The sequence below is a fragment of the Homo sapiens genome, chromosome 6 (genome assembly GCF_000001405.40).
Source record: "Homo sapiens chromosome 6, GRCh38.p14 Primary Assembly".
In the NCBI taxonomy this organism is placed as follows: domain Eukaryota; kingdom Metazoa; phylum Chordata; class Mammalia; order Primates; family Hominidae; genus Homo; species Homo sapiens.
Window position 1 is genome coordinate 123,309,124 of NC_000006.12, and position 24,017 is coordinate 123,333,140.

Below are 24,017 nucleotides of genomic sequence, written 5' to 3' on the forward strand. Positions count from 1 at the left end.
CTCTACATGCCATTATGACTAACAATTCCACCTTCTTCTCGATTATGGCCTCAAGAATCCAAATTTCACTTTAGTCTTCTAAGCCCCCATTCCTGGATTTAAACAGCCATCTTCTTATGGCTGTATCCTACTACTGCAACTTTGCCATCTTCTGCTAGCCATGTGACTCCTGGAATGTCCTTAGTCCTCTCCTCACCTCTCCCACCACTGTTGTGCTCATTCCTGTCTCTAGGCTAGCTCCTAAATATAGCTACCATACTGAAACTGGGCCAAGTAGAAAGCATCATTTCTGTTTCATGTAACAAATATGCTAGGTGAGTATGATGAGCTTCACCCAATAGATAAGAAAATTAATGTTCAGAAACATTAAGTAATTTAAGTAAAGTTACACCCCTGAACAAGGGGCAAAGGGAGTAAAATTCATGTATCGCTAGTATAAAGCCAACACTGGTTCCATCATACTTTATAGTAATTTCCTTGTCTCAGCTGCTCTTACACAGTTGACTCTTGAACAACACAGGTTTGAACTGGTCAGGTTCACCTATACATAGTTTTTTTTCAATAAATACATTGAAAATTTTGGGGAGGTTTGCAACAATTTGAAAAAACACACATGAACTGTGTTGTGTAAAAATATAAAAAAATAAAGAGGTATATCATAACTGCATAAAATATATGTAGGTACTAGTCTGTTTTGTCATTTGTTACCATAAAATATACAAATATATAAATCGATTATAAAAAGATAAAATTTGTCTAAACTTCCACTATAAACACTTCCAGATCATACAAGGTGCCATGCACAGTCAAGAGAAAGGTAAACAAATGTAAAGATGCAATATTAAAGGATAACTGAATGAAATTAACTATAGTACATATGGTACTACTGTAGTGATTTTGTAGCCTCTCTTGCTACTATTGTGATGAACTGAAGTTTTGTGGGTAGCTGCTTAAAATGCTGTGTGACATTAATCTCTGCATAAGCAGTTCATCTGTCCAGTAAATCGCATATTTCAGTAAAAGGTGATTTTTTTGTAGTTCTTATTTATCATTTTTAGTGCAATATCATAAACCTTGACTAAAATGATGGGACCAATATGAAGTGCCACTAGTGATGCTGAGAATGCTCCAAAGAAGCATAAAAAAGTCATAACATTAATGGAAAAATTTGAATTGCTTGATAGGTACTATAGATTGAGGTCTGCAGCTGTGGTTGCCCACCATTTCAAGATATATAAATCCAGCATAAGGATAATTATTCAAAAAGAAAAGGAAATTTGTGAAATTTTCATTGCAGCTATACCAGCAGGAGTGAAAACCTTGTACTTATTGCAAAATACTTTTTTATCTCATTTTGATAATGTAGCTTTTATGTGGGTGCAGGATTGCTATAACAAAGTTGTTCCTATAGACTTTATCATAATTGAAGAAAAAATGAAGTCATTATATGACAACTTAAAGAAAAAGAAAGGTGAAGGATGTAAAGCTGGAGAATTTAATACCAGAAACGGATGGCTTGATAATTTTAGAAAGAGATTTGGCTTTTTTTAAAATGTCACAACAATAGGAGAAGAAGGTTCAGCCAACCAAGAGAAGGCAGCAGAAAAGTTCTCAGACACCATTAAGAAAATCATTGAGAAGAAAGGATTTCTGCCTGAACAGGTTTTTAATGCAAAGGAAAGTGACCCATTTTGGAAAAAAATAATACTACAAAGGACATTCATTAGTAAGAAAGAGAATTGAGCCCCAGAATTTAAAGCAGGAAGGGACAAGTTAACTCTACTGTTCTGTGCAAATGCAATTGGGTTTATGACCAGGACTGACTTTATCTAGAAATATACTAACCCCCAAGGACTGAAGGGAAAGCATAAACACCAGCTTCAAATCTTTTGATTATACAAGAAGACCTGGACAATGAGAACCTGTATTAGTCTGTTTCATACTGCTAAAATAAATACCGAAGACTGGGTAATTTTATAAAGAAAAGAGGCTTAATTGACTCATAGTTCGCATGGCTGGGGAGACCTCAGGAAACTTACAATCATGGCAGAAAGGGAAGCAGGAACATTTTACGTGGCAGCAGACAAGAGGGAGCAAGTGTGAAAAAAGAACTGCCAGACACTTATAAAACCATCAGATCCCATGAGAACTTACTATCATGAGAATAGCATGGGGGAAATCGCCCCCATGATCCAATCACCTCCATCCCAGTCCATCCCTCAACACATGAGGATTATGGGGATTACAATTTGAGATGAGATTTGGCTGGGGATACAGAGCCAAGCCATTTCAGAAACATTTTTATGGAGTGGCTCCATCAATGCTTTGTCCCTGCAGTGAGGAAGTACCTTGCCAGTAAACGGTTGACTTTTAACATTCTCTTAATAATTGAATAATGCCATTGGCCACCCACAACTCTCTTGAGTTCTACACCTAAGGTGTTGAAGTGGTCTACTTGCCCCCAAACAAAATGTCTCTAATTCAGTCTCTAGATCAGTAGGCCATAAGAACTTTTAAGGGTCGTTAAACATGGTTCTTTATGGAAAGGATTGTCTGCTATAGAAGAGACTTTTGACAGAGAGAATATCATGAAAGTCTGGAAGAATTGTATTATTGAAGATGTCATCTTTGTTAGAGGAAAAAGCCATGAAAGCCATCAAGCTTGAATCAGAATGTTTCTGTTGGAGGAAACTGTATTTAGATGTTGTGCATGACTTCACAGGATGTATGACAGCGTCAATCAAAAAAATCATGAAATAGACAGTAGATATGGCAAAAAAGGTGGGAGGTGAAGGATTTCAACATTCAGGTCTTGGAGAAATTAAAGCACTAATACACACCATGCCAGAGGAATTAATAGAAGATAATTTAATGAAGATGAGTACTTCTGAATGAGTACCAGACAAAGAGGTAGCAGATTTGGAAGAAGTAGTACCAGAAACACATTGGCATTAGAGAATCTGACAGAGGGGTTCCAGTTACTCAAGACTGCTTTAACTTATTTTACAACAGGGACCCTTACATGAAGCATTGCTTCAGTAAAGTAAATGCTGGAAGAAGGATTGGTACTATCTAGAAACATTTTTGGAGACATGAAAAAGCAAAAAAGTTAGACAGAAATTACCATGCATTCTGTAAAGTTATGCTTCTGACCCATTTGCATTTATTCCGCCTCTTCGACTTCTGCCACTCCTGAGAGAGCAAGAGCAACCCGTCCTTTTCCTCCTCCTCCTCAGCCTACTCAACATGAAGACGTAGATGAAGACCTTTATGATGATACATAAGTATCATCATAGTAAATATATTTTATCTTATGATATTTTAAATAATATTTTCTGTTCTCTAGTTCACTTTGTTGTAGGAATACAGCATATAATACATATAACATACCAAATAGTTGTGCATCCAGTTTATATTACCAGGAAGGCTTATAGTTAACAGGAGGCTATTAGTAGTTAAGTTTTGGATAAGTCAAAAGTTACATCTGGATTTTCAACTGCATGGGGGTTAATGAACCTAACTACCACATTGTTCAAGAGTCAACTGTATATTCCTGAATTTCTAGCTTAAATATATTATCTCCATTAAGTTTTCGCTTACTGCTACTTAGGAATGGCTATAGGAATGGCTCCTCTCTCTAACTTCCTAGGGAACCCTTCACTAATATCATTTCCTTGTAGCCATCTTTCGATAGCTCATGTCTATGTCCCTGATTACACTCTTTGAGAATGGAAATAATATCTTACCACTTGTTTGTAAATTTTATATCACTAAGCACAACTCTGGACATATGGTAGTGACATTAGCATAATATATGTTTTCAATAAGTTGTTGATTGATCATATTGTATAATAAAAAATGCCTTAATGCTGATTTATCTTTCATAATAGGAAATTAAAAGCAAATACCATATAAAAATAGACATATTCTTTCCTCCACTTGGTTTATTCTGCTATTAATACTTGTGATTGCATTTTTAGATTCTTGTATTGTGTTTTTCAGCTCTATCAGGTCACTTATGTTATTCTCTATGCTAGCTATTTTGTCTGTCAGCTCCTACAATGTTTTACCATAATTTTTAGCTTCCTTGCATTGCATTAGAATGTGCTCCTTTAGCTTAGTGAAGATCAATTTTATCCACATTCTGAAGTCTACTTCTGTCATTTCAGCCATCTCAGACTCTGCTCAGTTCTGATCACTTGCTGGAGAGGTGATATAGTCATTTTAAGGGAAGATGGTACTCTGACTTTTTGAGTTTTCAGCCTTCTTGCACTGATTCTTTCTCATCTTTGTGGGCTTATTTACCTTCAATCTTTGAGGTTGCTGCCCTTTGAATGGAGATTTTTGTTTGTTTGTTTGTTTTTGTTTTTCTTTTAAAAGTCTGGCCTCCTTTCCATAGGGCTTCTGTAGTTTGCTGGGTGTCCACTCCAATCCCTAGTCACCTCAAATTTTCCGGTACCTGGAGATATCACCAGTGAAGACCACAAAACGGCAAAAATGGCAGCCCTTCCTCTGGGAGCTGTGCCCCAGAGTACAAGAACAGAGACATAGACCGATAGAACAGATTAGAGAACCCAGAAATAAGACTCCACACCTACAACTATCTGATCTTTGACAAAACTGACAGGATTCCCTATTCAATAAATGGTGCTGGGATAACTGGCTAGCCATATGCAGAAAATTGAAACTGGACCCCTTCTTTAGACCATATACAAAAATTATCTCAAGATGGATTAAATACTTAAATGTAAAACTTAAAACTAGAAAAAGCCTGGAAGACAACAGAGGCAATACCATTCAGGACATAGGCACTGGCAAAGATTTCATGATGAGGATGCCAAAAGCAATTGCAACAAAAGCAAAAATTGACAAATGGGATCTAATTAAACCAACGAGCTTCTGCATAGCAAAAGAAACTATCAACAGAGTAAACAGACAACCTACAGAATGGAAGAAAATTTTTGCAAACTATGTGTCTGACGCAAGTCTAACATCCAGCATCTATAAGGAATTTAAACAAATTTACAAGAAACAAATAAACAACCTCATTAAAAAGTGGGCAAAATACATGAACAGACACTTTTCAATACAAGACATACATGCAGCCAATAAGCATATGAAAAAAAGGCTTAATATCACTGATTATTAGAGAAATGCAAATCAAAACCCCAATGAGACCATCTCACACCAGCCAGAATAGCTATTATTAAAGTCTAAAAGTAACAGATACCGATGAGGTTGTGGAGAAAAAGGAACGCATATACAATGTTGGTGGGACTGTAAATTAGTTCGACCATTGTGGAAAACAGTGTGGCGATTCATCAAAGACCAGTGTGGCATACCATTTAACACAACAATCTCATCACTAGGTATATACCCAGAGGAAAATAAATCCTTCTGTTATAAAGACACATGCACACATATGTTCATTGCAGCACTATCCACAATAGCAAAGACAAAGAATCAAGCCAAATGCTCATCAATGATAGACTGGATAAATAAAATGTGGTACATATATACCATGGAATATTATGCAGTCATGAAAAAGAACAAGATCATGTCCTTTGCAGTGACACAGATGGAACAAGGGCCATTATCCTTAGGAAACTAATGCAGGGACAGAAAACCAAATACCGCATGTTCTCACTTGTAAGCGGGAGCTAAATCATGGGAACATGTGAACACATAAAGAAGAATAACACACACTGGGGCCAATTGGAGGGTGGAGGGTGGGAGGAGGGAGATGATCAGAAAAAATAACTAATGGATATTAGGCTTAATACCTGGGCGATGAAATAATTGGTACAACAAACCCCATGACACATCTTTGCCCGTGTAACAAACCTGCACATCCTGCACATGTACACCTGAACTTAAAATAAAATTTAAGTAACAATAATAAAATAGACATAAATACTTAATGTAAACTAATAATAGGAAATTGTTAGTGCATGTTACTTTTTCTATTATATATCATCAGTAAAATAAAGCATAAAATACAATGTTATGCAAAGAGGAAAGGACAACATAATGCACCTTTTATCTGATTAGTGAGTTTTCACTACTCCAGTAAAAATGCTAACAATAATAAAGCAATTTTTTGTACGCAGTTTTTCCTTTTCTGAAGATATATCTAAAGTTTATTTGTAACTTTTGATGTAAACACTCAATATAACATTTTATCTCTATTATGCTTTTTTTCTGCAGTTTAAAATTGTTCAACTTTTCATTGATCTTCCAAAGAATGCATGTTTTAAAATTATATAAAATTACTTTAAATGGGCATGCTTATTCACTAAAAATAAGAAAATAAACAATTTATTTTGATCTGATGGCAATGCTCTTAAGAGAAATGACTTTAATAATTTAATATTTAACATATACATAGAAGGGTGATTTGTAATAACTGCTTAAATATAGATTAAAATTTGTGCAAATGAATATATGCAAAAATTTTTAGACCAACATCATGAATGTCTGCTTTTTTGTAGTATCACTTTCACTCTACAGAGAGATATAGATATAGATACAACTTTCTTTTGGATAGATATAAACATATAAATCTCCTTATAAAGATACAAAATACTTGAATTAGGATAAGCCATAGAAAGACTATAATTGAAATTTTCCTTAGGATTTAGTGTCTTCCTTTTCTACATTTTCCCATATTCTATGATATTCATCCACTCAACCTTCATCACTAGCCTTGAGTGCCCAGCTAATCTCTTGACTTCTTCCCTTGCAAAACCTGTTTTTAGAAAGTCTATTTTAAAAGTATTTCAGCTTTCAAATTAATGGCCAATAGGTCAATGGATTACTTCTCCATAAAATATTTGCACATTTAATTGTGTGAAAGAAAAGTGTTTAATCTGTTAGGTTGAACCATGTGGGACTCCTTTTTTGGAGATCAAAATGGTTGAAAGTAGGTAAATACAGGTTCATAAAACTCAATCCATGATAATAATAAATTTTAGGCATTTGACATGCTCTGTATGGAGCCTCTGACATTTAAGGTGCCCTCTTAGCATTTCATAAACAGTGTTCAATTGCCCAGTAAATAAACAAAGAGCAGCGTATGTGCTAATGGTTCTAGTGCTTTGATAAACTTACCCAAAATCTGCTACCAGAAAGCAAGGAATTTTTGTTAACTTTAGCATACATTTAGTTTTATTGCTTATTACTTGTAAAATATATGGCACATAGCATCAGTATTTTTTTAATGTTTTGGATGTCTAAATATTTTATCCAGCCAGGATTGTAAAACTGTAAAACTAGCTTTCTTCCAACCAAACAGAACATCTCCTTGTATGTAAATCTTACAAAATATCCTTACCTGCTTTGGACATCTTTTCATCTTTTTTAGTTTCAGGTTCTGGGGCAAAACGTACACATAAACACGTACAAACAAAAGGGAAAAAAATAACATTTGAAAAATAGTCAGTACAAAGTGGATTAATAGGTAGGCTTCACTGATTTTTCTTGTCTGTTTTCAATTTCAATTATAGTTATATACTGTTATCAAAATATTAATGGAATATGTATCTTTGGTAAATTATAAAGTAACTTAAGCAAAAATACTTTGATTTTAAAATCCAGTTTGCAAAAAAGTTTCATGCTAATCAAGTAATTTGGCTTCTTGTCTTTAATAAAAGCCAGGACTTATAATTTATGCATTCTGAAAATATTGCAAATTAAAAAATTAATAAAAATTGCTCAGAAGAAAAACGTCATAAATTTTCCTAATTTGACCAACTTAAGCAATTTTGTCTTTGACTACCATACATTTAATTCATGGGGCTCCACCTAGTGGTTAATATAATTATTGTTTTCCTAGTATTTCCGTTAGTATCAATTTTATAAAATAAATCAATTTTACCTAAATTTAATATAATAATATAGACAATTGTGACATAAAGTATCTTGTTCTCTTATTGTCCTAGGACAATGTCTTTTGTCCAGAAATTCTGCATTCTAAAAACACCAGTATAGAATAAATTCATACCTTTTTTAAACTATTCAAGTAATACTCATAGCACAACCCTAATCAATAAGATAGTTGACTATATTTTCATGTTTCCAGTCTATCCTTTTATCTAACCAACTTTCCTAGGCTTTATAATTATCTGTTCTTGGTATAGAGTCTTCTTTTGATTAATGGAAGAGTCCAGGTACATTACAGTTTTCCTCCCTCCAAACAGCAGAAAAAACTGACTTCATAGTTGGAATACCTACTGAGCATAAACTATGTATAAGGGATAATGCTACCAGCTTTATTTGGGTTTTAGTCTAGCAGTGTCTCATTTTCTGTAGTTATAATTTTAAAAACTAATTTGTTTAACTGCAGAATTTTATATAATAAAGAATGTCATAGACTTTTACACACTACTTCCGATAATACTTGAGTGCACCTTCTGTAAAAAGTAGTATCAGTGCTATTAATGCACTCTGACACTCTTTGGCACATATTTCTCCCCCTTTTTGACACATTCACTTAGCTTGGTAGATACACCCTATTTTAATGTTTTCTATGTGCCACAGTATTATAGAAAATTTTGTTATTGTCTGTAATCACTCTTTAGATTTTAAGCTCCATTAGTGCAAGAACTGTGTTTTGTTTATTACTCAAATATCAGCACTGGGTGAAATATCTGATATGTGGTATATGATCAACAAATATTGTTGAAGGAATGAATGAGTGAAATAAATGGAATATATAGAATGACTAAAGGCTCCCTGTTGGGTATCTGAAGTCCTAGAAGAAGTTGATTCATCTTATGACTCTGCAACTAGAGATAAAAATTCAATGTCACATAGCTGTTGCATTTATATTTTATTTTAGAAACTTAAAAAAATAAGTGATGTCTTTATGTGTCCAATGATAGCAAATATGGCCTGCAACAATTCAATGATACCTTCAATTATTGGGTTTCCTGGTGCTATGTTTTGTCTCAGTCAGTTTAGGCTAAAGTTAATTCCTATCTAATTACTTAGTCTACAATACACAATTCTCTCTTTTGATGGTGAGTTCTGATGAGATTTTGGCTTCACTGGAAAGGAAACAACTTTTTCTTTTCTCTAATAGTTCTTTCTTTATTGAATCTATGCTAGGTCAACAGTACAGTTTAAACTTTCAAGCAAATTAGCACAATTCTAGTGATGAGAATTATTTTTTCTGGAGTACTTATGGCTCAAGTGCTGGTCAATTATTGACTTGCATTATTCCATTATTTTATGAAGTACATGCTATTTTAATCCCCATTTGGTAGATGAAGTGACTGAAACTTACGGAAGTTAGTTTGCGGAACCTCATTCAGCTGCTAAGTGGCAGAACCAAGATTCCATTTTCCCAACCTATTTCCCTTCACCCGGGTCATATCCCAAGGTCTGGATAGAATGATCTTGGTCTCCTTCTTAGTTCTGTTTCCGAAGTATGGCTAATTTGAATATTTGGATTTCTTAGAAATGAATTCCCACAAATTTAAATCTTTTCTTCCTAGGACACAGTTCATTAGCATTTTGCTCATCAATAATAGGTATCTATTTGAAACAGCCTTGCTTCCCACTCTGCACACGGCTTTCACTCCTGTCAATCATATTGTAATCTTGAAATGAAATCTTCTCAGCCTTAATGTTTGTCAAACGATCTTTTGGAAAAAATAAAAATTGTGGAGAATATTTATACCAACTATGGGTACAATACAACCAGAACCAACTTCGATCTTGTACACAGAATTTTGTAAGCACTCCTATGAAAAGGTATTATCTAACGTGTGGCTGTGGGCCCTCTTACTAGAATAGAACTACTGGCTTTAGTGTTATGTGAACAGTAATGCTAAAGATGACCTTAGGACAAGTTCTTTTGGTGTATGAAGAGTCGGTTTTTGGGTTTTATAATCTGACTTTAAAAGCAAGCTCATTTCCTAAGTTTTGTGACCTTGGGCATTACTTAAAACCTCAAGTCTTCATTCTGTCATTGCTAAAATGGAGAAAATAATGTAAAATTGATGTGAGAATTAGAAGTGATGTATATAAAGAGCTTAGCTATTTTTAAATTATGCTCATAAACTTAAATTGCATGATCTTTCAAAGTAATTTTCTCTTTTTTTTTTAAACAGAATTGGGATTTTACCCTTGAATACTCAAGGCAGGAATTGATATGTGAGAAAGTGGCAACGGATTTTCTAAGTTGAGCAGCTCTTTTATTAGGCTACTTGATTTTTAAGAACTCAGTGCACTCATTTTGTAGATGATATTTCTACTGACAGTAAAGTATTTTTTGAGCCATATGAGATTACAGTTTCTAACTAGGATTTATTTCAAGCCATATAAAAACAACTATATATATATTTACATATGTGTGTATATATATAAACTTTATATATGAAGCTTAATGAAAAGTTATAATGAGATGCTTCAGGAAACCAAGGACAGTTGTTAGTTAATACTGGCCATTGGGACTGGGAGGCCAGAGAGACAGCAGGCGAGCATTTATTTTTCATTCTGTCTTCACTGTTTAATTGTTTTCTACCACAATTATTCTTGTATAATAATACAATATCTAATTTCTGTAAACATTTGCCACTGAAGCCCTTCGTTTTGGGCTACACGTACAAGCATTGGGGAAATATGGAACCAAAAAGTCCCCATGCTAAGTTGTTGAGGCAGGCAGCCTGCCATTTCCTATGCAGCACTGACTTTTCCAGGCTGTTGATTTCATTTGTGAAATGTAAATTGCTGATGGGCCTGGGGAAGGGAGCTTCATTAGTGATTTTTCAATGTCATCAATAGTGTTTTCAAGTAGAATAAGCAGACCAAAACTTCAGCATGCAAGTGCTTAAGTCAGAAGGGCAGCAGTGGAGACAAACTCTGTTTAGGAGTCTCTGCTTTGTCTTCATAAAAAGAAAAGAAATAAATTTATTCAATATATAAATCCCAATAATCTGCATTATTTTCAGAATGCCTCTATTTTAAGTACTTTGCAAGGCAAAAGCTAAATATCATAGATTTTTTTCTCAATTTATTTTGTTATTATCACGGTTGTTTCTTTAGCACATAGATATCTCACATGTGGAATAAAATAAAATAATAATCATTATTATTATTTTGCACCAATGACACTTTGTATTTGCCACATGGTAGTCTCTAAGGTAAGTATATTATATATGTTATCTATATTTTATTGATATAATATTAAATATTCATTTGTTTATTAGCTCTCTAACCCTAGTAGCATATAAACTTCATGAGTCCTGGGATGATTTTTTTATTTTCCCTAATACATGATAGTGCTTAGACTGTTCTTTGCACAGAAGAGAGATCAACAAATATTTGTTGAAAAAATGGACAAATTACATAATCCTTACATACCACTCCTATGTGGTAAATGTTATTATTAGACTCAATTTACAGATAGCAATACTGAGACTTAATAATATGTTTAAATATATACTCCCTAGTAAGTGGCAAAACTGGGATTTGAATTCCGTTTCCAAAGTTTTAAGCACTTCAACACACTTCTATAACTAAAGTTGCTACTGATAGAATTAAAAGCTTTGAAGCATTTAATACATAAAAACTGTATAGCACACCACATTCTACTTCTTATAAGTGGTCTGTCTATATTATCTATGTTGTATTATCTACACAAACTACTAATAGTCATTAGGATTATAATTAACATATACAGTATAATCACAGAGGTTTCTATTTTTTTTCAAGCCAGTCTTTAAATCATGAATCGTATTATATAGTTTCCTACGTTGAGCTGGTAAAACTAAGCAGTCTGAGCATTAATAGAAAATGAATAACTCTCTCACACACTCCTGGAGTAGTATTCAATATTTAATGACATGGGAAGTTGTTATATTTAAAAGCGGGTCACAAAACCTACTCCTGTAAAATATATAAAGGAACATTAGCAGTGTTATCTCTGGTCAACCATAGGTGAATTTCAGTATGAGGGGGTCTGGAAAACGTGGTGGCTGAGGACATAGGTCTAAAATCAGACTGCCAGACACCAGTTCTGGATCCACATCAGGCAATTGTGTGACCTGGGCAAGTAACTCTCAGTGCTTCCATTTTCACGTTAATGCAAACAGGATTGCTGTGAAAATTAAACACTACACGTGAAGTACTTCGAATGGTGCCAGGTACAAAGCAAACGGTGGAGGTCAATCATTTCACTGATATTTTAAACTACTTTTCTCGCACTTTTCTAACCCAATTTTAAATACAATACGTATTTTAAAATTAAAAAAAACATTTTATTTGTTATAAGCAACATTCATACATTTATTCCAAACCCATGGTTTTTCCATCATTTGGACCTTTTTTTATTCAGGATCTCCTGAATATTTGGACTTTGATGAAAACCTGTTGCTACTACTTGCTATTACTACTATTACCACTACTACACACAAAGACACGCAATTTCACAACTTTGTTGTGGTCCTAACTATATTATTATTTAAAAGAAAATGTGATGCACTTTGCATGTGCCTGCACACACACACACTCACACTCTTCCACATTCTGTTTTCTGCATGAGGAAGTACTGCATGGAATATAGAAATACTGTCACTCCAAATAGCTTGACTTCAATGTTTCAGATATGAGATAAGCCTCCCTAAATAAGTCTTAAGAGGAATGCTTATTTTGCAAAGATTCAGTCTGCTATACTAGATGGTATCTGATTTCTTCTGCTGCAGACACAATGCTTTGTGGTCCGGATAAATATAACTGTGAAAAAGACAAGATTTCACTGCCTTTGAGTTTGATTTTGAACTTCTTCAGTTCATAGATTGCCAAAAGAAGAAATTGTTCTAACTTTGGGTGAGGTCACACAGTGAACCAACACCCAGCATCTGCTACTACATAGCTTTTCATCTTATCTGGCTGTACATTTCTTTACTTCAATATTTTACTGACTGTTTAACATTTTCCTTTCTCTTATTTAGCCACATCCATATGGTCTTGACACTTCATGCATTCTCTATGCTCCCATTTTCCCTGATTATCTTTCTGAATTAGTATCATCTTTGCTCATGAACTGAGGAATCCTTCCATGCATAATGAAGAAGCAAGGTGATGATATTCTCAAGTGATAGTTCAACTTCATTCATGTCAAGGAGTTGCAGAGATCATTTTTGCCACTGCAGTTGAAGAAAAACAAACAAACAGGCAAAAGCTAAGCAAGCAAACAATTCCTCAGTTTGAAATTTATTTCCTTTTTAACCAAATAATCTAATATGTGATCTCTGAAACTCTCCAAATTTCCATTTTCTAATCTTTTGAAATGGAAACATTATAATTATCTCAGGAATTTGTGGCTAGAATTAGACTAAATGATTTAACAAATATTTCCTGAGTATTCAAGTACTAATATTGAAATAACAGATCTCCATTGATTAGATGACAATTTGGTCTGCCTTATTGAAGGGAGCATTGGCGAACACTTCACTTTTCCCCTGTCCCAGCTCTTTTTTTAAAATTTATTATTATTATTATTATTATTATTATTATTATTATTATTATTTTTGAGACGGAGTCTCACTGTCACCCAGGCTGGAGTGCAGTGGCGCAATCTCGGCTCACTGCAACCTCCACCTCCTGGATTCATGCCATTCTCCTGCCTCAGCCTCCCCAGCAGCTGGGACTATAGGTGCCTACCACCACGCCCAGCTAATTTTTGTATTTTTAGTAGAGACGGGGTTTCACCATATTAGCCAGGATGGTGTTGATCTCCTGACCTCGTGATCCACCTGCCTCAGCCTCCCAAAGTGCTGGGATTATAGGCATAAGCCACCGCGCTTGGCCTGTCCCACCTTTTTTCACTGTCTTGTGAGATCTTTGAGGACAGGGAATATGTCTTTTCATCTTTGGAGCCTCACTGCCTAGAATAGCCACAGAACATTATGTGAACACTCAAAAATTGTTACGGATATATAACAAAATTAAAATGCTGTTTCAAAATGACAGGAAAATCAAAATGCTAACTTCATTTTTAGGGTGTTTAAACCAAAATATGAAGCAGAATCCCTGTCTCACTATCCAAAACCCTTACATGTATGGAAAAACACATTAGAACTGACTCACTAGACGTTGAACCCTGGTGTGCATTATCTTCAGATATTTATATTTAATTTGTCTGTCTAGTAAAATTATTCAGAGTGGCTACACGAACTAATTTGTTTATTGTTAGTTATTTCAGGAAGCAAGAGCCTCAAACTACTGACATCACTGCTTTTCCCATAACACATAGACACACACACAAGCACACCTCCACACACACATGTTCTCTGTCTCTGTCTCTGTCCCTCTTACACACCTCTCAAACCCATTAAGTCAACAACAGAAACAAAACAAAAACAATTATGGTTGATAAGTTTCTGTAGGTGTAGTTCTAAAATGGCTCCAGTTTGTAATGCAGGCGCTTAAGTCATGACTCAATGCTTTATGCCTAAGTCCTGATTCTGCAATCCTTCCTTGGCAAAATTCCCAATGGAGTTTGATGCTTACAGAAAAACTTTGCTGAGTGGACATTAAACACATAAAATGGGCCACAGGGCATTCTCTCTTTTCAGCACAGAATAAATGCATACATTGTCCCTGCCTTATTCTGTCATCATTTCATTTTCATGGTCTTTTGTCTTTTGTATATGCTAAATGCAATGTACCACACTTCTGATAGTGTCACTCTGCTTTTATCTGTTCTTTCTTTTATGCCTACTTATATGCTCCTCATTATTCTTTCCTTCCCTGAAGCTTCCCAGTGTGAAGAGTGTGCATTTAAAATAGGTGAGATATAATTGGAGGTGGCTGCATGCATTTGTAGGTCCTGCAGAAATTGTCAGAATCAGGCCCTGTGATGTTATTTGAAGATGGCAGATGGCGAGTTGGAAATATTTCAGCTAATGAGCCTGCTGACTTTAAACCATTCAATGAGTTCAGAAAGTTGTGCAAAGGCCACTTACCAAGGTAAACAAGCAGGCATTCCTTAGTTTTCCTTTACTGAGGGGAAGTCACTAGACTCTTGCTTGTTTTTCTGGGTACCAGTATCGATTTTCTTGAATTTGAAGTAAGAATAATCAATTAAGTAGATAAAATGTCATAGGTTTAAGTATGAATCATCTTATATCTTGTTCAAAAATGTAAAAATAATAGAAGACTTACAGTAGAAATAATATATTTTTTAAAATGTTAATGGACAGAAGCCAGGTGTGTGGTGCATGCTTATAATTCCAGGTACTCAGGAGGCTGAGGCAGGAGGAGCTCTTGAGCCCAGGAGTTTGAGGCCAGCCTGAGCAACAGAGCAAGACCTCATCTCTGAAAAGAAAAAACAAAAAACAAAACGAAACAAAATAAAACAAAAAAACCTTCAAGGAGAGAAGCATATTAGAACATATGCATAAAATAGCTTGGAGTGATAAGACAGGTTGCAGTGAGATTGTGACCCATTCTTTCATTCAATTCTGCCTTTTGAATGAGGGCTGATATTTAAAAAATACCAAGGAATGAATATTGGAGCTCTACACTTAGAGTTGCACGTGTATTTCACCTACATACAGCTGTACACATGTTGCTGTATATTAACATTTTGGATGAAGATTATAAAAATTCTCAGTGCTTGGATACAATACTTTTGTATAGCTAATGCTTGCAGAGAAAATCCTGGCCCCCTCAACTACTTTTGAAAATAATACATGACCTCTTTCCATCCTATCAACTTGACATTTTGGCATAATGGACATAACAAGAAATGTGTTAGGCTGTAAATTGCTGCTTAAAGTGAAAGTGCTACTGTTATGGGTCCAACTTTCACTTTAACAATTCTTCAGAAAATGAGTAATCATGGATTTTAAAGGCATCTTCTAAGATTTTATTCTTTAGAATCCTGATTGGTCTTTTTTATTAATCAACAGATTATCTGTAATCTTCCTTCATGCCTAGCAAACACAATAAAATTATTACAAAGACAAAAATTTTGACTATGTGTTAGGATAAGTTTTGCTAATATATTCCAATATTGAAAAAAAGAAAAATAAGATTATTTTTAGTGGTTATTAAGTCTGATACTAAGTAGCTAATTCAGCATAAAAATCTTGGCTAATCATTTAATCTTTGGGCATCAATTTCTTCACTGTTAACATGACAGTTGTAGTATTTCTCCTTAAAATACTTCAGGGCAGAATTAAATCATGCTAAGAATTTATATTAGAGACTAGGCACCAAGAAACTCAGAAAAAGTACAGAAAAATTAAAATACTAATGTTGATTACTAAACCAAATATTCTAGACCCAGTATTAGACTATGAAAATATTTTACTGAAAGTTCTAATATTTCGTAGAGGAGGACAATGACATGAGTGAAGATGACATATGTGAATTGCAATACTATTGGAACATTTTAAAAATTTAGAGTAGTGAATAAAATATATAGATTAATTGAATCTTCTTAGAGTTATCAGTTTCAAAAGACAAAATAAATCCCTGTTATATCAGTTTAAACAGAATCAGAACACTAAATAACTTTAAAACTGGAACTTTGGGGACAAAACTCCACCTTTTTATGTTAATCACTGGACACTGGAATATTTATGGTCTCTAGATGTAGCAAGACAAAAACACTGGTTAAGTTTACTATGGCATATGTTGAATTAACTTATTCTGAAAGGTGCCTTTTGGGATAAGTCTCTGAGACCAACTGTCTTGATTCTTTCTTATAAAAGCAGACTACACAACACATACTCCTTCAATAAATCATTGAGCTTTCCCCTGCAGGTTTGTATCTGAATTAATCAATATTAAAATAGTGCTTATAGAAACAACATTGTACCTTTGCAATGAGACACAAAAACTAGTGACAACTGAACATGCAAAATTACCAATTTCTGTAAAATAAATAGCAGAGAGAGTGATTACTAGTATTGGACTTCAAGTTTGTTGGTAGTACTCATGTTAAGAAGAAGGTTTAGGGTTCCTCAATTTTGAGACTTAACTTTATCCTCTCCTAACATTATTTCTCTTACTCTTGGCTCTTTCCATAAGAAATCGCACCCATGCATGGCATGCCAACATCTTCAAATTCAGAATACAGGTTCACAAGTGTATCTCCAACCCAAATATTTTTTCTGATACTCACACCCAAATAGCCAGCTTCCAGCTCTAGATTTCTACTAGAATGTCCTAAAAATACCTCAAATTCAGCATGGTGTAAAAGAGATATAGAGTCTTATATTCTAAGCATGTCCTTTTCTAGTATCCCATCTCAAAGTCCCATCTCACTTCAGTGTAGCATCTCATTTTGATTGAATCTGGCTTCTAACATGTTGAAGCAATTTTGAAATGTATTTCTACTTTTTAAAATATTATCAGGTCCATGACATTGAATTCTGAGTATATTAATATTTCTCTTAAAGTCACCCAAATTTTCTTATAGACATACACCTACTATTAATGTTTGGTTTACATGAATGTCCTATACAAAACTTCATGTAGTTTAGATAGATTTCAGCTATTGTTTCTCTATCATCTATTTGAATTGAACTGTGTCATAGAAATAAATTGTTAGTCCACATTATAAATTAACCAAGAAGTACTGATTACAAATATCACCCACATTTTTCAGTGATCATAAATTTATTATTTGGTCATTTGCTCAATTAGCTATTTTTAAAATAAATAGAAACTGGCAAATTTTAAATTTCAAGTGCTTGCTTTCATTTTAAAAATAAAATCTGCAGATTTTTAAAATATCAGTTATTTTTCTTTGTTCATTATATGCATTGCAATATATTTTTCTAATGTGTGGCTAATCTTCCTCTTCTGGATTTGCTCTCTTTGTGTCTTAAGAAATTCTACTGTAACCAAAAGCTATATATATTCTTCTCTATTTTCCTGAATGTTTGAAGTTTGTCTTCTAGCATCAAGTCTTGAAGATGTCTTAAATTTCTTTTTGCGCAAATATGAGAGCGGAATTTAAATTTTTTCCTACATGAGAAACAAGTGTGGTTTTCCATTTATTTTCTCAATGATACATCTGTCATCTAATGTATTTTCCTACATTTAGGGCTTCATTTCTGGGCTCGCTGTTATGTTCTCTCAGTGTGCGTTCCTATACCCGTACTATTTCCATATCATTTTAATTAAAGCAATTCTATAAAAAATAACTATATTTGGTCAGGCAATTCCACCTTATTATTTTTCAAAAAATATTTTCTTATTTTTGTCCTTTCAAGTTTAAAGACATTTAAGAAAACTTTTTTCTACTCTAAAAATACCGTTGATATTTTTTATATGAATCTATACATTACTTTAAAGGGAAATGATCACTTCCAGATAGGAAAAGGAAATATTGCTTCACTTATTCAAGCCTTTAAAAATGGATTTCAAAATTTTTTTCATAATTTTTACATGAAAATGTCATCAATATTTAGATACATTTATTCTTTGTAACAGAGTTTGTTTCCATTGTGAATAGGGTACCCTGAACGAATAAATTTTTGAATTATTCATCACTTATGTTTAGGAATGCTAAACATTAATTTTCATAGGATGATCTTGTATCCAGAAGTTTTGCTAATTTCTCTTATTCATACTAATATTTTGTTTGTGGGTAAATTTGGAATATTTATGAAGATGGCTTTTCTGCAAATACAACTTTGATTATCCCTTTTCAATTCTTATACCTTTTCTCCATTGGTACTATATCTGATACAATGTTGAAATCAAGATGACATTTTTAGTGTGTTTTATATTTAATATTTAAACATAAGTACATATGTATAATTTGTAATGCTATATAAATGCATATATGTGATCATATTACACATATTCATGCACATTGATTTTTGCGTTGTTTTGTTTAGTCAAAATCATTTTAAAATGCTTGTATCTCTCCCATAAGCCATATTATCAACCTAGTCTAAATCACTCCATATTTTCCACATTTTCTCCATACTGTTATAATAATCTTCAAACATATGGAAAGGCATGTAATGGCAGAAAATCCTGACTAGCCAACACAACTTGTTCTTCATTCCTTCTCTCACCCAGAATCCCTCGCAGTTAAATGTATCAAGAATCTAAATCTTCCCTGGTGGCAAGGGGATGGGACTGATGCATGCCACCTGGCACGCATGCCCTCACACTTCCTCCTCCTTTGTGCTGGCTGCAATGCCAATGCATAGGCAGAACTTGGAACCATGTACTGAAGATGGCAGAGGCCGCCCCAAATGACCACACACCCCCAACCAACACCAACACCACCTGCAAACCTATCTTATTATTAATTTTTTCATATGATTTGGAATTTCAGGTTATATTTCAGCCTGAGAACTGTATTATTGTGGTTGTTGCCGTTTTTGTTTCTTTTTTTCCTATGAATTGCGATTGTGTGATTCCTTCCTCTCGCACCAATCTTTCACTGGGCCTCTAGTCCCAAGTACACTTTGATGGCTCCAAAACTTGCCTCATAGTGTTAGTAGGGATATTCCTGAACAAGTCTCTATTTCAATACATGACTTGCTTCAGGTCCTAGATGAGGGGCTGAGTTTATTTTCTCCACTTTCCTGGGTCTGCACTTTCCTATTAACTGTAGCACCAGAGAACTATTTACGGCAACTGTTTTTCACCTTCTTTTCTTGAATGGGGGTTCCACTTCAGTATCTGGTTAATTGCATTGAGACTTGTGTAAAATCCCTGCTTATTCCAATGAACGTTATTGCCTTATGTGATCCTGGTCAGCAATTCTGTTTAAGGATCCAGAGCCCAGCACCCCCGCAGCTTCTTTTTGGCTTACTACCTTGTTTTCACTCTGTTTTTCAACCAAGTAAATGTTTCCCTCTTGATTGCATATGGTTACGGCTTTTAAAATTTATCCATCTATAATTTATCTTTCATTTTAAGGAATGAAGATGAGAAGAGCCTTCAAATCTTGAAAATGCACTTCCATATTCCTGGAAAATGAGAGTTAAAAAGCCAGAGTCCTTGTCTCCACTACATGATTACTGAATCAGAATCTTTGGTCATGAGTCCTGAACGACATTTTTATTTTAATTCAATAGGAGAGTTTAGTGCATAACCAGATTTAAGAGAATAAATTAGAACATGGTTCTACCTTTACTCAAAGAAGAATATGCTGTGGCTATTTAAGTATTATAAGATTAACACATAACAGATTAATTTCTCATTTAATTGTGTATGATATTGCCATATTATGTCTGATGCTCCTTTAATGAAACCTTTTAAGGAGCTCTCTAATTACTAAAAGAAGTGTTAAAACTTTAACCTAGAAAATTTTCTTTTAAAGTTAATTCCTGTTACTAAAGATTTATTTGAGATGTGACTGTTCCAATATGTGTGAGATGGTGGTGATCCCCTTTAATGAAAGAGAAAGCCTAATGAGACAACACCTCCTACAGGTGAAAGTTAAAGTCACTTTGCATGATATGATTACACTTTGCTGATAAAATCTCCAGGAGTTGTCATTTACATTCAGCATCATAGGTCTGAATTTTGGCTGGTTGTTTGGAACAAAAAAGAAGAAGAATTTCAATGCATAAAATTTTAAAGCACCATTAATATTCTGGCAAATTTCTAGGAGACATCACTGTCACTCTAAGTGGGAAAAATAAAAATGACTAATTAAAATCCTGACAGTAATTTAAGGGCTGAATTTCTAAAATAATAATAATAATAAAATGGGATTTAAAATAATTATTCTGGTGATTACATTTAATTGTCTTTTTGTACAAATCACTGTCTAGTCATAGCCCTTACTAAAAATTAGGAAGAAAATGGTACAATGAAGTAAAACTGAGGATTTAGCTAATGCATCTTCTTCAACATGATATATGTTGCCCCTGTCCCCATCACTAATATCTCTAACGATGAAATGGCTGGTGCTAGATCCAACCACCTGGTATGGGATTATGGAAAGAAGATACTTGGAAGAGTAGAAGAAGATTCTTTGAGAATATATTTCCAGACATCAGAGACTAAAATAAACAAAAACTAAACTTTTAAAATAAAAATATTGATATATATAATATTCCTGTCTGCACCTTTTAAAAATATTTCCACCTTATATTGGCAAAAGAAATATAGCATCATTGTGTGATTAAATTACTTAATGGTATCTAACCATTTCAACTTACATTGTTATATCCAAGTCAACCAACAGTAAGATCATGTTAAAGAAACCTAGAATTTATTTAAGATGAATTAATGTTTTGGTAAGTCCAGGATATTTTTCTTACCTTTCTCAATTAATTTAAACTTTGAATACTAAAATGTAGCACGATTTATCTGCCTGTTGGACATTTAACATAACATATATGAATCCTCTTGCAAGGCAAAATATACTAATTTACATATCGTGTCAAAATAACAAAATAGTGTGCAGCAATAAACTAACTCTCTCATAAAAGCCGATGAAAAGAAAGTTTTAGTTATAATAACACATTTCTAAAAGAAGGCATAAGTTCCTTAATAGGTTTGAAGCTATGTTGCTTTAATTTTTTTTGATTAGATACATATGGGGCTGAGAAAAAAAATCATGTTGTGTTCTTACATTTCATTAAATAACAATTATGTTTATTTTAACATTAGTTGCAAAATTAGGAAAGTATGACTTAAGGCTATAGTTTTATACATTGCTACACTCACTAATGGTGGCTCTCCATGCATCCTTCATTCCTCTTACTCATCTTTCTGTCAGCTTTCCTCTCCCGCTGATCTCCATACCACTTCCAACCCCAATCCATGCTTATGTAAGCTCACCAGAAATCCTTCTCTTATCAATAAAAAAATCCCAGTAAGATGAAAGTTGTACAGCTAAGTCCCTCTACTAAGTGTGGTCAATATTTTACAGGGAAACAGGCTCTTCTTCTAACATTCACAATAGTAAGTACATTACTTGGTTTTTATAATTTCAGTGACTCATTAATATGGGCACAATGGAAAATTTTTAATATTTACTTTGACACCAGGAAATATTAGACAACTCTGAGCACAATGCCATGTCCACAGAATATACTTGGATTAGTTAGAAATTTTATGTTTTACGTTGAATTTGGCAAGTTTATTTGTGTTTTAGGGAACATAATTTGATGTATGGCATATCAGAATCCACCTTACTTCAAGCCTATCACAATGGAAAGGCTAGAGATGCAACATGGCACATTAGAAAAAGAACAGTGCTTGATTTAGGAGATTGAAGTTCTAATGCTGTCTCCACTACAAACTGTAACTTTGAAAAAGGTCTTGACTATTTGGGCTTCATTTGTCTGTAAGACAAGAGGATTGGACTACAGTTTCTAAGTTCCTCCTAGCTATACAATATGTTTAGGATTCTATTATATATGAACTTACAGAATCAAAAGATTTCACTGAGAAATTTTTACTATTTCATTTTATCTTAAATCTTTGGTTTCCATGGCTATTCCTAAGATTCGCTCTTTGGATATTTATAAAATGTAGATTCCTCCATTTCACTACAGACCCATGGAATCAGAATAGCATAAGACTTTTTAAAATTTTTGCAGTATTTCTGATGCAGCTACACTTTCCTTTTTTGTTTCATAGTACAATTTAGAATTTAATGATGGAATATAAATCTTTTTTCTTTTGCTTAAAAACATATGAAGGCTATGGTTTTGAGAGCCTGAAAATGAAATGATTCATTACTTTGTTGCAAATAACTGAATATGCAAAAGGCAGATCAATGTGGCTTCACATTTCATTGTATAATATTACCTTTTTCCTTTAGGGAAGCTGGAACTTTCTCTTCTTTCCCTTTAATAGGTTCTGAAAAGAAACATCGGACATTTATTTGAAGCCAAGACAAAGAGATTTTCAGATACCTATAAATGAAGTCAGTAAGCTGAAAGTATCAGTAAGCTGAAAGTAAGTGGAAACTTTATAATGCACTTTAAAAATGGTTTTACTCATATAGGGACAAAGAAACAACAGTATAGAATACAATAAGCCATAAACTGATCATTTTTCCTTGGCACAAACATAAGTTGTTCAACAAGTTATAATCTACTTGTTTAAGAGAATGAGTATTTGGATGGATAGGACCTTATTTATGTGTAATTTTTAAAAATCGCATGACTTCAGCATGCAGAAGTCTTCCAAAACTGTTTAATCAGCACAAAGCCAGTTTATTTCTTTTAGCCCACATTTTGTCAAAAAATAAACAACCAAATAGAAAATCCTGCACATATCATGTATGTAGCGGTGTTTTAGTCTTCAGACTCAAACTTGAGAATAAGACCAAAATAAAATTTGAGAGACAATTTCAGCTAGGAGACAATTTTACCTATAAACTTTTAAAGTCTTCAAAATGAAGGCCTTGGTTGAAGTAACTCAAATAAAACTTTACTTATTCTACCACCTTCCAAACACATCTTCAGTGTAATTCAGACCATATCATGGGCTCCAGACACATATATGGTCAATGTCTTTAACATCATTATATTCAACAGCCTAATAAAAAATAAAACATTAACACATTTTATGCTTCCTCTGCAACATTAATGCTCAATAAAGATTTTATGGATGAAAATGACTTTTAATGCAATTATAAGGGAAAGAAAGAGATCTATCCTTTCAGCCCCTTTTTCTATTCCCACCATATTATTTGGGTGAAAATACAGAGACTGTGATGGTGGTGCTTGTAAATGGAGATGCCACTCTAGTAAACACTTAGAATTAACTGAGTCCAGATAGTTTTGGATGTATTAAGAATTGATTTTGAGGTTTTATTAAAAGAACTGCATCTTTCAAAGCAAAATTTTCTTGTCGGGTAAGCTGTAGCTTTAGATATCCATAAGCATGTAGAATTTTTTTTAATGTCTTTGGTGACAAATAAATGCCCATGTTGCTATTTATGGTGTTGTGTATAAATAGTGCTATTTTTCCATACTTCAGCATATGAAGATGAAATCAAGAGTCATGAATTGAACAAACACACTGGAAAGCTTCATTAACTGTTTTTCAAGCTGATGGGGGTA

The 24,017-nt window shown here is 33.7% G+C and overlaps 1 protein-coding gene and 1 long non-coding RNA gene across 2 annotated transcripts in view; one reads left to right on the forward strand and one right to left on the reverse strand.

Moving 5' to 3' along the window:
* The window catches only part of TRDN (triadin), a 420,612-nt gene that overhangs the window by 92,785 nt on the left and 303,810 nt on the right, over positions 1–24,017 (reverse strand). The window contains exons 23-24 of the mRNA NM_006073.4: positions 22,756–22,806; positions 7,334–7,372 (exon numbers count right to left, since the gene is read on the reverse strand). Coding sequence (NP_006064.2) covers positions 7,334–7,372; positions 22,756–22,806 — 90 coding nt within the window. The remainder of the gene's footprint in view (positions 1–7,333; positions 7,373–22,755; positions 22,807–24,017) is intronic.
* On the forward strand, positions 234–24,015 carry LOC124901393 (uncharacterized). The gene is made up of 3 exons (XR_007059734.1): positions 234–314; positions 22,804–22,905; positions 23,935–24,015. It is a non-coding gene; the product is annotated as an uncharacterized LOC124901393 (long non-coding RNA).